The 16,366-nt window shown below is 51.0% G+C and overlaps 1 protein-coding gene across 8 annotated transcripts in view, besides 4 other annotated features; it reads left to right on the plus strand.

Moving 5' to 3' along the window:
* The window catches only part of ALOX5 (arachidonate 5-lipoxygenase), a 71,902-nt gene that overhangs the window by 36,911 nt on the left and 18,625 nt on the right, over window positions 1-16,366 (plus strand). For all 8 annotated transcript variants that reach the window (NM_001320862.2, NM_000698.5, NM_001256154.3 and 5 more), the window contains 3 exons: window positions 1,065-1,187; window positions 12,915-13,021; window positions 13,834-14,006. In NM_001320862.2, the coding sequence (NP_001307791.1) occupies window positions 1,069-1,187; window positions 12,915-13,021; window positions 13,834-14,006 (399 nt within the window). In that variant the 5' untranslated portion in view covers window positions 1,065-1,068. The remainder of the gene's footprint in view (window positions 1-1,064; window positions 1,188-12,914; window positions 13,022-13,833; window positions 14,007-16,366) is intronic.
* Window positions 7,813-8,506: an enhancer, noted in NCBI's record as "H3K27ac-H3K4me1 hESC enhancer chr10:45914387-45915080 (GRCh37/hg19 assembly coordinates)". NCBI's record gives its function as "activates a minimal SCP1, AML or CMV promoter by ChIP-STARR-seq in primed H9 embryonic stem cells {active_cell/tissue: H9 hESC(primed)}" and the evidence as "EXISTENCE:reporter gene assay evidence [ECO:0000049][PMID:30033119]".
* Window positions 8,507-9,198: an enhancer, noted in NCBI's record as "H3K27ac-H3K4me1 hESC enhancer chr10:45915081-45915772 (GRCh37/hg19 assembly coordinates)". NCBI's record gives its function as "activates a minimal SCP1, AML or CMV promoter by ChIP-STARR-seq in primed H9 embryonic stem cells {active_cell/tissue: H9 hESC(primed)}" and the evidence as "EXISTENCE:reporter gene assay evidence [ECO:0000049][PMID:30033119]".
* Window positions 9,227-9,728: an enhancer, noted in NCBI's record as "H3K4me1 hESC enhancer chr10:45915801-45916302 (GRCh37/hg19 assembly coordinates)". NCBI's record gives its function as "activates a minimal SCP1, AML or CMV promoter by ChIP-STARR-seq in naive H9 embryonic stem cells {active_cell/tissue: H9 hESC(naive)}" and the evidence as "EXISTENCE:reporter gene assay evidence [ECO:0000049][PMID:30033119]".
* Window positions 14,741-15,241: an enhancer, noted in NCBI's record as "H3K4me1 hESC enhancer chr10:45921315-45921815 (GRCh37/hg19 assembly coordinates)". NCBI's record gives its function as "activates a minimal SCP1, AML or CMV promoter by ChIP-STARR-seq in naive H9 embryonic stem cells {active_cell/tissue: H9 hESC(naive)}" and the evidence as "EXISTENCE:reporter gene assay evidence [ECO:0000049][PMID:30033119]".

The raw sequence follows: 16,366 nt of genomic DNA on the forward strand, positions 1-16,366 counted from the left end.
CATGGCACTGGTGGGAGTTTCTTTTAGCATGCTAATGCATTATAATTAGCATATAATGAGTGGTGAGGATGAACAGAGGTCACTTTCATCACCATCTTAGTTTTGTTGGGTTTTGGCCGGCTTCTTTACCACAACCCATTTTATCAGCAAGGTCTTTCTGCCCTGTATCTTGCATCAATGTCCTGTCTCATCCTGTGACTTAGAATGCCTAACCTCCTGGGAATGCTGCCCAGTAGGTCTCAGCCTTATTTTACCCAGCCCCTATTCAAGATGGAGTTGCTGTGGTTCAAACACCTCTGACATTTTCACAATTTAAGTTTACTCAATAAGTAAACAAAAAAGCAAAATAAACATTTTTCAAAAACACAAATGCCCAATGCCACGGGATACGTTTCAAGGATGTCAGGATCTGAGCATGTTTACTGGATGCAGTCCGTGGCTTGTCTTTGGGGAAGCTGTTTTGATTGTAATAATCTCTAAAGCTGCTATTGGCCAGCAGGTGAGAGAGGGAAGCCTTTTAGCCATCTGTGCCTGGGTCCCTCTCCCAGGCCACCTGCTGCCGTGTCGTCCTATTGTGAAGGCAGAAGAACTGTCCCATTTCCCCAAATGCCACATGCAGGACATGCACGCAGTCCAGGGCACACACTGATCAAGTTGGCAGAATGGTGGATGTCCAGGTTGGGCGTGGCTGGGCAGCCTTAATACCTTCTACCTCCAGTGACTGGCAAGGCAGGCCTCTACTGTTCAATGTCACCTCTAGTAAGTGAGGTCTCCCTAGACTACCTACAGAACTTTTTATGCAGTGGTGCACACCTGTACCACTATAAGCCCAGTCTCAGGGTTCCCACTCTGATGCTCAGGGCACAGCAAAGTTGGTGCGACTGGACTTTGGAAGAGGTCCCAGAACCTTACTGGACACAGGGTCAGCCTATGATGTGTTGACTTTATTTTGAGTACATCAATCTCCCTGTGTAACATCGTCTGACAGTGTGGGCGGCCCTCAGCTGAGGGGGCAGACCAAAGGCTGGCATTTAACTCAATTTCTTCTCCTTTCTCATGCTCAGATGGATGGAGTGGAACCCTGGCTTCCCCTTGAGCATCGATGCCAAATGCCACAAGGATTTACCCCGTGATATCCAGTTTGATAGTGAAAAAGGAGTGGACTTTGTTCTGAATTACTCCAAAGCGTAAGTTTACGAGAACTGAGGGACTCTGGGCAGCCCCTCCAGTGGCTGGTGCTGGGGGTGGAACCCTCACTCCTTTCCTCATGGGGTCCTTGGGTTGGGGGAACAGCCTAGCTGAGCCAAACGCTTTGATGATATGTTGGCCATAGAGTGGATTCTCAACGCACAATTGCAGGACAACCGGTATCTTAAAAAAGGCATAACCAGAGGACTCCAGACACCAGACATACATGTGTTTTTGGCCCAAAGCAGGGGTCTTTAGTTGGAATGCCTCCTCCCCATCCATATCTCATGCTCTCTATGGCCACTTCAAAGGTGTGAAGGCTTTGTGTCCAGGCTGTCACCAAGATGGCAGGTGCTATGGTAAGAATGGCCAAATTGCCAGTGCTGATCCCAGGACATATGTCCCCTGTTCCTCCGTCACAACCCCACGAGGGAGCCACAGTCATCATCCCCATTTTACAGTTGAGGAACTGAGGAATACGGAGGTTGACTACCTTCCTTGCCTAAGGCCCCCAGCTAATAAATGGCAGAGATATAGGTTCTGTGCACCTTTGTTTCATCCGAATGTCCGCAGGGCTTTTTAAAGCTTGCCCAGGCTATCGGGAGACTCTAGGCTGCTTGTTAAACATATGGATCCCCCGACCCTATCCCAGGACTACTGAGTGTAGGGATCTTTAAATCTGCACATTGACCCTATAGGGAATTTTAAAAATCATGTCAGTTTGGCGAAACTATTCCAATCAATAGAAAAAGAGGGAATCCTCCCTAACTCATTATATGAGGCCAGCATCATCCCGATACCAAAGCCTGGCAGACACACAACAAACAAAGAGAATTTTAGACCAATATCCCTGATGAACATCAATGCGAAAATCCTCAATAAAATACTGGCAAACCGAATCCAGCAGTACATCAGAAAGCTTATCCACCATGATCAAGTGGGCTTCATCCCTGGGATGGAAGGCTGGTTCAACATACGCAAATCAATAAATGTAATCTAGCATATAAACAGAACCAATGACAAAAAACACATGATTATCTCAATAGATGCAGAAAAGGCCTTTGACAAAATTCAACAACCATTCATGCTGAAAACTCTCAATAAATTAGGTATTGATGGGATGTATCTCAAAATAATAAGAGCTATTTATGACAGACCCACAGCCAATATCATACTGAAGGAGCAAAAACTGGAAGCATTCCCTTTGAAAACTGGCACAAGACAGGGATGCCCTCTCTCACCACTCCTATTCAACATAGTGTTGGAAGTTCTGGCCAGGGCAATCAGGCAGGAGAAGGAAATAAAGGGTATTCAATTAGGAAAAGAGGAAGTCAAATTGTCCCTGTTTGTAGATGACATGATTTTATATCTAGAAAACCCCATCGTCTCAGCCCAAAATCTCCTTAAGCTGATAAGGAACTTCAGCAAAGTCTCAGGATACAAAATCAATGTGCAAAAATCACAAGCATTCTTATATACCAATAACAGACAGACAGCCAAATCATGAGTGAACTCCCATTCACAATTGCTTCAAAGAGAATAAAATACCTAGGAATCCAACTTACAAGGGATGTGAAGGACCTCTTCAAGGAGAACTACAAACCACTGCTCAACAAAATAAAAGAGGACACAAACAAATGGAAGAACATTCCATGCTCATGGATAGGAAGAATCAATATCATGAAAATGGCCATACTCCCAAGGTAATTTATAGATCAATGCCATCCCCATCAAACTACCAATGACTTTCTGCACAGAATTGGGAAAAACTACTTTAAAGTTCATATGGAACCAAAAAAGAGCCCGCATTGCCAAGACAATCCTAAGCCAAAAGAACAGAGCTGGAGGCATCATGCTACCTGACTTCAAACCATACTACGAGGCTACAGTAACCAAAACAGCATGGCACTGGTACCAAAACAGACATATAGACCAATGGAACAGAACAGAGCCCTCAGAAATAACACCACACATCTACAACCATCTGATCTTTGACAAACCTGACAAAAACAAGCAATGGGGAAAGGATTCCCTATTTAATAAATGGTGCTGGGAAAACTGGCTAGCCATATGTAGAAAGCTGAAGCTGGATCCCTTCCTTACACCTTATACAAAAATTAATTCAAGATGGATTAAATACTTAAATGTTAGACCTAAAACCATAAAAACCCTAGAAGAAAACCTAGGCAATACCATTCAGGACATAGGCATGGGCAAGGACTTCATGTCTAAAACACCAAAAGCAATGGCAACAAAAGCCAAAATGGACAAATGGGATCTAATTAAACTAAAGAGCTTCTGCACAGCAAAAGAAACTACCATCAGAGTGAACAGGCAACCTACAGAATGGGAAAAAAATTTTGCAATCTACTCAGCTGACAAAAGGCTGATATCCAGAATCTACAAACAACTCAAACAAACTTACAAGAAAAAAACAACCCCATCAAAAAGTGGGCAAAGGATATGAGCAGACACTTCTCAAAAGAAGACATTCATGCAGCCAATAGACACATGAAGAAATGCTCATCATCACTGGCCATCAGAGAAATGCAAATCAAAACCACAATGAGATACCATCTTACACCAGTTAGAATGGCAATCATTAAAAAGTCAGGAAACAACAGGTGCTGGAGAGGATGTGGAGAAGTAGGAACACTTTTACACTGTTGGTGGGACTGTAAACTAGTTCAACCATTGTGGAAGACAGTGTGACGATTCCTCAAGGATCTAGAACTAGAAATACCATTTGACCCAGCCATCCCATTATCGGGTATATACCCAAAGGATTATAAATCATGCTGCTATAAAGACACATGCACACGTATGTTTATTGTGGCACTATTCACAATAGCAAAGACTTGGAACCAACCCAAATGTCCATCACCGATAGACTGGATTAAGAAAATGTGGCACATATGCACTATGGAATACTATGCAGCCATAAAAAAGGATGAGTTAATGTCCTTTGCAGGGACATGGATGAAGCTGGAAACCATTATTCTCAGCAAACTATCGCAAGGACAAAAAACCAAACACCGCATGTTCTCACTCATAGGTGGGAATTGAACAATGAGAACACTTGGACACAGGAAGGGGAACATCACACACCAGGGCCTGTCATGGGGTGGGGAGAGGGGGGAGGGATAGCATTAGGAGATATACCTAATTAGGAGTTAATGGGTGCAGCACACCAACATGGCACATGTATACATATGTAACAATCCTGCACGTTGTGCACATGTATCCTAGAATTTAAAGTATAATAATAAAAAAAAAGACATACACGGAAAAAAGGAACACAAATCCACAGGAACAGTTGGTGGACTGTGCCTTTTTCCGAAGATGTCTTTAAGGGCATCAATATTTAAAGGAGAACAGGCTGGAAGGAAGAAAGGGAGGGCATGGTCACGTTACTGAATCCACATGTTGCAAAAGAAAAGGAGCAGGTAGGGGAATAGTCAGTTATGTATTCCTCTTGCGCTTAGTACATCAGCACTTGATAAGGTGAACACCAAGAGCTACCTGTGGAGGTTTTCACCTTTTATCTGTAGCTATCTTCGTTTCTTGCATCACTCAGCTTTCAGCTTAATTTTTCCCTTTTGGCAGAGTGAATTGGGGTCCAAAGATTTTCATTTCCTTTTACACCTAGAATCCTCTGAGGAGCATTAGCACCTGCTAGTGCCAGGCCAACCCCACACCCACAGATGACAGTCTATGAGGGTGGGACCCTGGCTTTGAGTCTGCACACCCAGCAGGTAGACGAGGCTGAGAACCCAGCCAGACTTCAAAGCTTAAAATAATATTATTTATTTCTAAACATTGTGTCGGTGTTTTGGGGGGTACAATAATCTATTTTAAGCTTCATGGCCATCCTGGGAGGTAAATAATATTATTGACCATTTCTAGGTGAGGAAACTGAGTCTCCAAGGGGTCAAGGTCAAGGAGTTTGCCTAAAGTCATTTAGGCAGAAATTGGCAAAACCAGGATTTGAATCCAGGTCTGTTTGTGTCCAAAGCTGGGGCATTTTTCTCCTACCACAATTGGGGTCTACTGGAGAGAAAAATTAAAACCTAACATCTGGATTAGTAATGCAGCAGTATCCACCATCTCCCTGGAAACATCACGGCAGTTAGGGGCTCACTTCCCTTCCCCTACTCTGGGATTGGGATTGTTGATCAAAGCCATGTAGCTTTAGTGGGATAGGTCCCAGACCAGGATGGGACAGGCAGGACAGAAGGCCCTTGTGAAAGAGACAGTTTGGAGGGAATAATAAGGATGGTGAGGTAGTGAGGTGGAGAGTACTGCCACCCAGTTTGGAGGGAATGGAGGAATACTGGACAGATGGACAATCAAACCGATGGACAGGCAGATGGATGGGTTGAGGGATGGATGATGAATGGATGGATGAAGGGAAGGAGGAAGGATGGAAGAAGAGGTGGATGGGGGATGGATGGAGAGATAGATGAGAAATTGATATACGGATGGATGGATTCATGGATGGTGGATGGATGGATGGATGACAGATAGTGAGATGGATGGATGGATAGATGGGTGGATGGATTGATGGGTGGATGGTGAATGGATGGTGGATGGATGGAAGTATAGACAGAGAGATGGATGGATAGATGGATGGATGGATGGATGGAGGAATTAATGGTGGAGTGAAGGCCAGACTGTGCCTTTCTTATCTCTGTTCAGTGTTTCTGAAGGTCATTGTCATCTCTGTATCTCAGGAGCCTCTGTATCTTAGCAGCTGTCACAGAATAGGTGCTCATTAAATCCTATTAAAATGAAAGTGTGACCCACCTGGCCCCTGAGTGCCCCTGAGTGCCAGCTGGGTCACAGTCCATTTTAACAGGGTTTAATGAGCACCTATCCTGTGGTATAGAAGGTAACTGTGCACCTCCTTTTCATGTATCCCCATCATGGCTAACAACAGCCTAGACATATGGTTCTCAATCCTGTGTGTTTAGTGTTACAGACTCCATGCTGCCCACTCTGCACAAACTGTGGAACCAGGGGAAGTCCAGCACAGTTATATTTTAGGGCTACTGGTGGATTCCAGTGTATAGCCAGGATTAAGAACACTGGCCTGTAATGCCTTTCTGGGCCTCCCCACCCCCCACATATGGTTGCATCTATTTGCTGAGTCAAGTCCATCTGCTGGGTCCCAGGGAGTGCCTCCTCCTCTCCCAGCTCCACCATCTCTCCTGAGTGAGGGCAGGAGCATCTTTCCAGCTGCCTCCCTGGGCTCCATCTCTCAAGACAGTGGGAGGGCTTATTCTCAAGTGCTTGTATAATTTGTTGGAGGCTCGCTCTAAAAAGTAAATATAATTTCTTGGTTGGCTCAATTGCAGGTGAGAGCCCAGATGTCTCTGCCCAGAAATGGAGATACATCCATAGGGACGCACCCGCCCCTGCCATCTCTCAGGTCCTACATGCATAGGATGCTCCACCGTGGGGAGCCAGCAGGGCTTTGCAGAGCATCTCTTGTCTCTGACCTAGCTGTTTCCTTTGCCACACCCACCCTCCCCACTTCTTGGCCAAGACATGGGTGAGGGGCCCCTTCTTGCAGAAGCTTCTAGAAGCCTCTGGCCCCAGTGAGGTCCCCTCCCCTGTACTCCCCAGTGCCGCCCACCCTGCCCTTGGCCCCAGAAGTGCTGCAGCCCACGTTTCTCCACATCGTCCTGTCATTAGCCCCTTGAGTGATGGCCTATTGGCAGGAGCAGAGCGAAGGAATCCTGAGAGGGGCCCTTCTGCCCCTCCTGGCCCAGCAGGCTGGACAGTAAGCTTAGCCCCACTCTGAGCACCGCCTCTGTGCTGGCACAGTGGATGGAGACCCTTGAGTTCTGCGGGGGAGAGAAGAGGTGTCCCTGTATTTGAGGAGCTGAGCCAAGGGGGCTGGACCACAAGGAAGCAGCTTAGAGGAGCCTGTGTGGGGATGAGGGGTGCCTGGGAGAGGGCCCTGGGCCGGTGGGGGTTGGGGGGACCCTAGGAAAGTCGTCTAAGTTCCCTGAGCCTCGGTGTCCTCAAATGAACAATGAGACCCGGCCCCAGCTCCTCCCCAGGGTTGTGAGATTAAAATGGGATCGCACACATCAGCCCCTCAGGGAAGTTTCTCCCTAAAGACAGCCTTTGTCTTCTCCATTCTTGGTTCAGGCCCTCTGGGACCGCGTCTCCACCATCACACACCGGCCTAGGGCTGCACTCTTGGAAGGGCCCCTGCGCTTGCAGGGTGGGCAGGGGACCCTCGCTTCACCTGGGCGTCCTCTCTGATGGGGCCCAGGAAGGCTTTGCAGCCGGGGGCCATCTGACCAGGTCTTACTGGGCCCAGGCAGAGGTACGTGGGGCCTGGAGAATGGCACAGGGGGCTGCAGCGGAGAGAGACTGTGGGCACAGGTGTGGCGAGGCCAGGCCGCCGAGAGCCAAGTGGTTTGCGAAATTTCCTGGTGGTGTGGAGGGAGGAAAAGCTGATGTGTTCACCTCCCCACTCGCTGTTTGCAGCCTGGAAGACGATTGCAGGGGGTGGCAGGGCTGAAAAGACAATGTCCTCATTAAAGGAAATTGAGAAAGAGAGTTTCCTTCCCAGTGGGGCGGGACAGTGCAGAAATGCGGCCGGTCCTGGAAGAGGTGGGGGCGAGGGGTCGGGGGCTCACACGCCCTGCGATTTCCTCCCATGAGAATGGGCGGGGGCAGCTCCGGGAAGGGTGGCGGATGGAGCCGCCCTCTCCCCAGGACCACAGGGGCGCTTTCCAGTGAAGGCGCCGTAGGAAACGCCAGTCTGTGCCGCAGTGTACGTAGAGGCGCTATGAGCCCGAGTTTCCCACGTCCAGGGACAAACTGGGAGCCGTGACTGTCAGGCCGCGCGGAGGCTGCCCTGGCCGCCTTTGCGGTCAGGTGAAGGCGCAGAGGCAGGGAGGCCGGGCGAGCGCAGGCGGGCGGAGAGCAGACCACGCGGAAGAGGCCGAGAGAGAAAGCGGGGCACCCGGCCGGGGGGGTCATTTACAAGGGACGCTGGGCACGAAGGAGGCTGGGGCGAAGATGAGTCCAGGGGTTGGGTTGAGAGCGCTGCGCAGCCGGGCTGAGAAGAGAAGCTGACGAGTGACTCCCGACAAGGGACGGGGGAGAGGGAACCTGGGGGCAGGCAGAGGCCTAGGGGGTGGGCTCTGAGGGCAGCCACTCCCACCGGCCCTCCCCCAGCCCCGCAGGCCAGCCACATGCCCCGTGCTCCAGACGACCCAGCTACATGGATGGCAGCGTCCTGAAGGGGGATGATCGGTAGGGAGTGGGTGCGGAGGCTCACGCCTGTAATCCCAGTGTTCGGGGATTCCCGAGCGGGAGGATCGCTTGAGCCGGGGAGGTGGAAGCTGCAGTGATCTGCGCCACTGAACTCCCGCCTGGGCGGCAGAGTGAGACCCTGTTTCAAAAGGCACCAGGGGTGTAGGGAAGGAGCGATATCCCCCAGGCAAGGAAGGCTGCGGAGGGGCCAGGCCAGGAGAGAAGGGCCCTGAGCTCAGTGGACGGGCAGGGTGCCTGTGGAGGAAGGGAGGGACGTAGCAGCAGGAGGAAGGGTGAGGACCCAGGCTGGGGATCGGGAGAAGTGATGGCGGAGGAAAGAGAGGCCGGAAGAGGAGGGGGCCTGCTGGCCTGGCACTGGAAAGCAAAGCGTGGGTTTGTATATGGGAAGAAGACCACATCCCCTCTTATCGTCATCCCAACTCAGAAACCATTTGGCCCCAAGTCACCAAAGCACTCATAGGAACCACTTTTCCTGTGACACAAGTAGGATTCTCCCACTTTTAACTTCCCAAATGCTACCCGAAAGCCTCTGAAATCCTTGGAAATTTAAAAAATAATCCCCTTCTATTAACTGATGCCTATAAAACATATTGACTTTCATTAAATTTTGTTATGAAATCAGGGATGTGTCCCATTGTAAAATAAATTTGTTTGGAAAATGTAGGGTGGTATCCCATCTAAAAATCAGACGAGGCTAGAAAATTTCAATTTTATTTGCTAAGGTAGCATCATGTTGTTAAAAATGCATCATAAAATAAGACCAAGAGTTAATACAAAGCATGAAGTCATGTTTCCCTCAAAAAAATGATTTGTTCTGTAGTCAAATTAATTTGGAAAACATTGCAAACTCTTCAGCAGTGGTTCTCAAAGTATAGCTTGCGTCAGAATCCCCTGGGGCCCTTGCTAAAATCTGGATGGCTACACTCCCCGCCTAGAGTGGGTTAAACTCAGTGCCCACTGGCAGGAAACTGAAACTTGGCTGAAGTCACCGAGGAGGCCTTCCCCGTTAAACCTCTGGCTGGCGACAGCTTGGTTTCCTCGCCGCTGCTTCTGAGTAATTCTGGCACGCAGTTCCTCCTAGCCACCTGCTGTACCTGGAAGGGGGCCAGCCCTCCTCAGCAGGCTTTGCTCCTGCCCTGCACAGCACAACTGTGGCGTAAAAAATGGAAAAGCTGGTAGCAGAAGGAAAGAGCAGGGAGACAGAGGTTAGGTGAACCTCAATGGCCTCATTAAAGCAAATTGAGAAAGAGAGTTTCCTTCCCAGTGAGGCGGGACAGTGCAGAAATGCGGCCCGTCCTGGGAGAAGTAGGGGCGAGGGGTGGGGGGCTCACCGGGCACATGGCCAACAGCTGGTGCCCAGCCTGGGCCACAGTTTGGCACAGGAGAAAGCTGAAGATGCAGGAGAAAGCTAGGTCACTGCCCCTAGGCCAGGTGATCAAGGTGGCTGTTACCTGCCTGTGTGGCCTTGAAAAAGCCTGGTGCCCTCTCTGGCTTGCAGGGTCCTTCTTTTTACAAAAGCGGGTCTTCGAAGCCCTGAATATTCCAGTTATCTGTAAGGATATAGAAATATTTTGCCTCTAGATGACATGTAAATATGTTCCTCCTAACTCCACTTCTTCCTACATCTGTGGCTTCTTCTGAGAACTACCAGACCCACCCTGTTTTCAGAGTAAACCTCCTGTTTTGAGGTCAAACAGACCCAGCTGGGTAATTGGTGACTCACTCCTGGTTCCTCCAAAGAACAGGGGCAAGGGACCACCCGGGACCTCAGGTGCCCCAGCACAGGACCTCTTTCTGGGGCACCCTCTGGCACTGGGCCATCTTCAGGCCCTACAGGGCTCTCGGGGCCTGCGTAGGCCTCTCATCTCCCAGAAATAAGTTCTTTTCCCCACCCAGACTGACACCAGATGCTACAGTGAGGTTTACCCCTCCAGCTTGACAAGCATTCCTAGCCCAGAACACTCAGCTGACGAGGGGTGCTGGGGGAGGAAGGAGGCAGCAAGGCTGAAAGAAGCTTCTCTGGGTATTCCAGTGCCTGGCTGCTGGTCGTAGCCATGGTGAGACCACAGCAGCCTCCCTGGAAGCAAGCACCTGTGTAAAAGCCCCTCCTTCCCCACAAGGGGCTGGATCCAAGTGAAGAAGGTACCAGAAGGACTGGAAGATGATGCTGGTATTATTCGACAGCTCCAGGGTGCTGTAGCACTGAGCACCTACTGTATGCAGCCCATCACAAAGCCAGCCACACTGCCCAGGCTGTGCCATGGCAACTTCCAGCAGTACACCCTCTCGGTCACCTGCAGGCTCCTTGTTCATCCTGACACATGAGGAGAAAAAGACAGTACTCACAAAGGCCTCTAGCCTTGTGGCCCCAGGACCCTCTCCTGAGCATCATGGCCTCCTAGGAGACCCAGGGTAGCCAGGACAAAGGAGAGAAGCATTTGCTAAGCTAAGAAAGGATGGAAGGGGATTGCTGTTCTGCCTGGATGCACCCCTAGACCTGGCAGGGCAGGCAGGAGAGACCCCCAGTGTCTCTTGCTTATCCTAGGAGTTCCCCCCTGTGGTTGCTCCAGTTTGCTGCCTTCATGCATGTTCACAGGGTGATTCCCCTGAGACAACAGAGCTGGGATGTCACCAAGCCCTGTGTCCCATCAGCCAGGCTCTCCCCAGCCTCCATCCTCTCATTCTGCTGGATCAGGAGGATGTGGGGAGGTCCCTGACTCCCCAGCTTTCCCCATGACAAGGTGTGTGTCTACAGCTCAGACCCAGCCATGCTCCACCTGAGAAGTGGGTCCAGGCAGAGCACTGGGTCCTGGCCACCTAGGGCTGCCTCCTCAGGGGTGGGCAGGAAGGGGAGCCACTGGAGGAGTGCCCCGGGCACAGTCCCCTGCACCAGGTGAGGTCACCTCTTAGTCCATGAGGCGATGCTGCATGAGCCCCTCTGGACACTAGAAGGCCTGGGCTCAATGCTGAGTAAAGTGCAGGCATGACTGTGCCCTCAGCATGCATAGGGCAGCAGGCATAGATTCATACACGTGAGTTTGCACTTAAGCTGCAGTAAGAGCTACAGAGGAAATGAACAGAGACAGCATCACTCCAGTGAGCCCTCCAGATACACCCCATGTGCGCAGTAAGAGAATGGCATAGTCTATTGGGACAGCCACATCAAAATACCACAGACCAGATGGCTTAAACGGCAGATATTTGTCTCTCACAGGTCCGGAGGCTAGAAGTCCAAGATTAGGGTGCCAGCCAATCCACTTGCTGGTGAGGGCCCTCTTCCCAGCTTGCAGATGTCTCTGTGTTCCCACAGCATGGTCACGTGGCAGAGAGAGGGGGACAGGGCATGAATAAGCCCTCGGTGCCTTCCTCTTCTTACGAGGATGCTAATCCCATCACGGGTACCCCACCCTCGTGACCTCGTCTAACCCTAATCACCTCCCAAAGGCCCCATCTCCTAATGCCATCACACTGGGGGTCAGGGCTTCAACACATGAATTTGGGGAGCACAATTTAGTCCACAGCAGAAAAGAAAGGGGCACAGAGCATTCCAGCCTGAAGGAAACAGATGTGCAAAGGCCCAAGGCAAAGGCCTGAGCTCTGAGGGGCAACCAGAGTCAAGGCTGAAGAGTGGGCAGTGATTGAGCACTGACGGTGGAGAGGCAACAGGCTATCTTGTTAATCTCAGTCTTTTGTGTGCCAGAGAGAGAAACTGAGGCACAGTGTGTCATGGTGAACACTGGGCAGCACTCCCACGCTCCTGTCCTGCACTCTGCAGGGTTATGGAGGAAGCCTGGGAAGTCTCTCCCCTCTTTTCCACCTTTCCTGGACCCATCCCACACCCTGCCTCCTCCAGGAAGCCCTGGGGATTGCTCATACACTCACATCTCACTCCTTAGTACCTGCAGCCTGCATTCTGAATTTAGCAAGCTCTGGCCTTGGGTTTCTATTTTCTTGTCCTGTGCAGTGAGCATTTGGAAACTTCTCCTCAGCACCAAACACGGAGCCATTTAGCAGAAAATACATGAGTTTTCAAGTCAATTGAACTGTTCATCGCCCCAAAAGCCAGGCAACACGGTAGAGCAGCTGGATCTCTGTTCGTAGAAGCTTTCTCAGGGACTGGCCCACCGAGTGGGGGACTGCAAGTGCCCGATGAGTGAATGAATGAACACATGTGTGAATGGAATTCAAGGCACTGCAGGCTATTCTGGAGGGTACTGGCCTGTCTCTTCGACAGGTGAGGTGCAGTAGAACAGCATCCCGTATAGATGCCAGTTTCTGACCTGGTTCTGAAAAGCCAGTCACCTACCTCTGCAGAGCTGCCTGGAGGGGGCGGGGGTTGTGAGGACCCCTGAGAGCTTGGTGTGAAGGGGCTCTGCAGAGGGAGGCATGGCTAGTGTGCGCAAGGTGACCTCTCTCCTGGTCTGCAGGATGGAGAACCTGTTCATCAACCGCTTCATGCACATGTTCCAGTCTTCTTGGAATGACTTCGCCGACTTTGAGAAAATCTTTGTCAAGATCAGCAACACTATTTCTGGTGAGTGTGCCTCTGGGGGCCCAAGTGGTGCTGGGGACAGGGGATGCTGCTCTCCTGTCTGATACTTGCCGGGAAATTGACAAGGGCCTTCCTGCCTGCTGCAGCATGGGGGCCTCGCTGCCACCATGCCACCCTGGACAGCACCCCCTACACTCCACACCTTTTACCATCACTGTGGTCACCCTTGTGCCCAGAGGTTTCTCCTCCTCAGATATTCAAGCTCGAGCACCCTCAACCTCATTTCACTATCAAAAGTCTCAAAAGTATCAGAACTTTTTCTTGGCACAAATCAATCATTTGTGCTTCTGAACAGAGCAAAGGCAGAACTTGGCTTGTGTTTTAGGTATTTACACAAAAGCAACTTTGGGTTCCTTTGGACTAGGATGTGTTTGATGAGAGCACTAGCTTCATAGTGGCCAGTCATGGCATGGGAAGGACGTTAGGAAGGCAGGAATGGCTGGACAAGAAGAGGTGCTGAAATCAGGACATGGGGAACCAAACTTGGCAAACTGCCCCCAGGGACTCTCCTCCACGCCCTCCTTCTTCCATCCTGGACACTCCATGCTGGGCTGAAGGACCTGAGTGCTCCAGGAGGCTTCTGAGCCACGAAGGGCCAGCTCAGGTATGATGAGTTGGTGCCACAGCCTGACCCAGTGATGGGCAGGGGGCAGCAGTTGGAGCTGTGCCCATCCAGGGAGCACTCGGGAGAGGAGACCAAGCAGGGACTCTGCTCTTAGGTGAGGTCAGGAGGGCCATGGCCCTGGCTGCCCTCTACTCAGAGCTCAGGGTGGGCCTCGCTTTTCTCCTGGTAGAGCGGGTCATGAATCACTGGCAGGAAGACCTGATGTTTGGCTACCAGTTCCTGAATGGCTGCAACCCTGTGTTGATCCGGCGCTGCACAGAGCTGCCCGAGAAGCTCCCGGTGACCACGGAGATGGTAGAGTGCAGCCTGGAGCGGCAGCTCAGCTTGGAGCAGGAGGTCCAGGTAGGGGTTGATGGGCTGGGGAAGTGGCCAAGGTCACAGTCTGTCAGGTGGAAGCCAGTTCCTCCTGGCCAGTGCTCATAGGCCACCAAGACGCTAACTGCAGGCCCATCTGGCCTACAGCAGCCGCTTCCTTTTCCTGGCAGCAGTGTCAGCCAGGGTCCTGGGCATTATGCAGACTGTCTTGTGCAACATCAGAGGAGGAATTGCGGGGAATGTTTCTCCATGATGCTCGAGTCTGGGAACATAATGTCAATATTTTCACTATCAGTATCAATAATTACAGGAGCTACCCTTGATTAGGGGCCTGTGGTGGGACAGGCATTGTGACAGGTGCTTTACACACAAGGTCATCAGTTGTCACCCACCTTGCAAAGGGGAGAACACTGGAGAAAGAAGCAGACCTTGTGTGAGAATAAAAAAGGGGCACGAGGAGAAACCCAACAGAATGGTTGATTTTCTCGTTAGAAATGCTGCTGCCCATGCTCCTGTCGCACCCTCCTCCCCACCCTCACCTGCAGACTCAGCTGCCTCCGGCTGCAAGGCTGACCTAGTCTTGAGACAGAAGAAGTTCAAACCAACTCCACCTGGATCTGGTGGGGCTCAGCAACAGGCGCTGGCCCATCAGCCTGCCTCTTCCCCATGGATCCAGCGTGATGGGGCCTCCTGCCACCCAGGCCCTGCTGCCTATCCCCAGGTGTCCAGGTGGCCTCTGCTGCTTCCAGTCTTTTGAGCTCAGCTTACCCTGAGGCCCTAGTTGGAGAGGGATGGTTGGTGCCCTTTAGAGATAAACCTACAGCCCCAGTACCTGGCCCACCTGAATCTAGAGGGCCACCCACCCAGCTGAAGTCCCTGGGCAAGTCTCCTGCCCCAGTGCAGGCAGTGTTTCCTAACCTCCTCCTCCTCCTGCACCCAACCAGGCCCAGAACACTTCCTGGTCATGTGAACAGCTGACAGTTACAATCCCCCACACACTGAGAGAGCATCTGTGTTCCTGAGTGGACTGAATTGCTAGATGTAGTAACATTGATTTGGTGGCTATAGGTTTCAAACTTCAAGTCAGAGATCATAGAACTTTAAGCCATATAGAATCCTAGAATTGGAAGACTCTGAGCAGCCATCTCTGCACCCAGCAGCCAAGGAGTGGCCATCCTCAGCACCTGGCAGGGCATCAGCCTCCCACTGGGAGTCCCGGCCACCTCCAGGGCACGTGGGTTATGAGTCACCTTTCCTTTGAGCTGACCCACCCCTCACTGACTAGACTCTTAAACACACACTGCCCCGTCTAATACACACCAGCATGATTCTTAATCCCCACAGTCATTCACGCTGCCCATCTGGCAGCACCTTAATGATCTACAGCAAGCTTGTGGCCTACTAAAAACGCCTCCATTGTTTTTTAAAATGTGCAGTTATTTTCCGGATCATGAATAGAGAAATTGTATCCCTGTTGTTGGTATTGATTCAGTGTTCCAGCTCAAGTTTGAGTTCTTAGACTTTATATTTGGATTCTTTGGTTTCAAATCACAAAAATCAACTCCATCTGGTTTAATCCAAGAACTCTATTGGCTCAGGCAACAGTAAAAAGCAATGCTAACTCATTTGGGACCAGGGCTCAGATCATCCCCTGCACTGTCTCTCTCTCGCTCCATGTCTCAATCCTCTGCCTCTGGTGATTTTTTCCTTAGGAGGGTTTCCTTATGTGGAGGTAAAAAATGATCACCGGCAGCTTCAGATTTACCTTCCACCAGCTTAGCAAACACCACCCACTCCCAGCAAGAAAGACCCTGTTTCCCAATGCTCCCAGCAGATGTCTTAGGCCATCCTCGGGCCTCACTGATTCTGTGAGCCAGTGCCCACGGCCAGGAGAATGGAATACACTGACCTAGAGGGGACAGGGACTCTAGACAGGCAAAAACTCCACTGTCAGAAGCAGAATCCTAAAATGTCAGAACTGAAAGGTAGGCCCGCCCCTCGTTTTCCAGAAATATGAAAGGGAGGCTTGGGATAACAGAGAAATGCTGCAGGCATTGGCCCCAAATCTCAGGCCTCCTATTCCCAGTATCACCTTCACCAGCCTGGGTGGTCTCAAGATTGGATTAGCAGCCATTCCTTCTGGGTAGAGTCTGATGGTCACTTCAGCTCTCAAAGTCCAGCTATCCAGCCATAGTCCTAGAAGGCAAGACATCACTGTGCCCGACCAACCCAAGGGTCTCCACCTGCCCCCCTCAACACAAGGTGCCCTGAGTGCCTCCGCGGGGATAGTCCCCGTCCCCACCCCTGCTTCCCCCGCCCATCGCGACAGATGCTCAGAGCTCATCCCTGGTGTCACACCACATAAAGGAGGAGGGCGGTGGCCAGGC

The sequence above is a fragment of the Homo sapiens genome, chromosome 10 (genome assembly GCF_000001405.40).
Source record: "Homo sapiens chromosome 10, GRCh38.p14 Primary Assembly".
Lineage (NCBI taxonomy): Eukaryota > Metazoa > Chordata > Mammalia > Primates > Hominidae > Homo > Homo sapiens.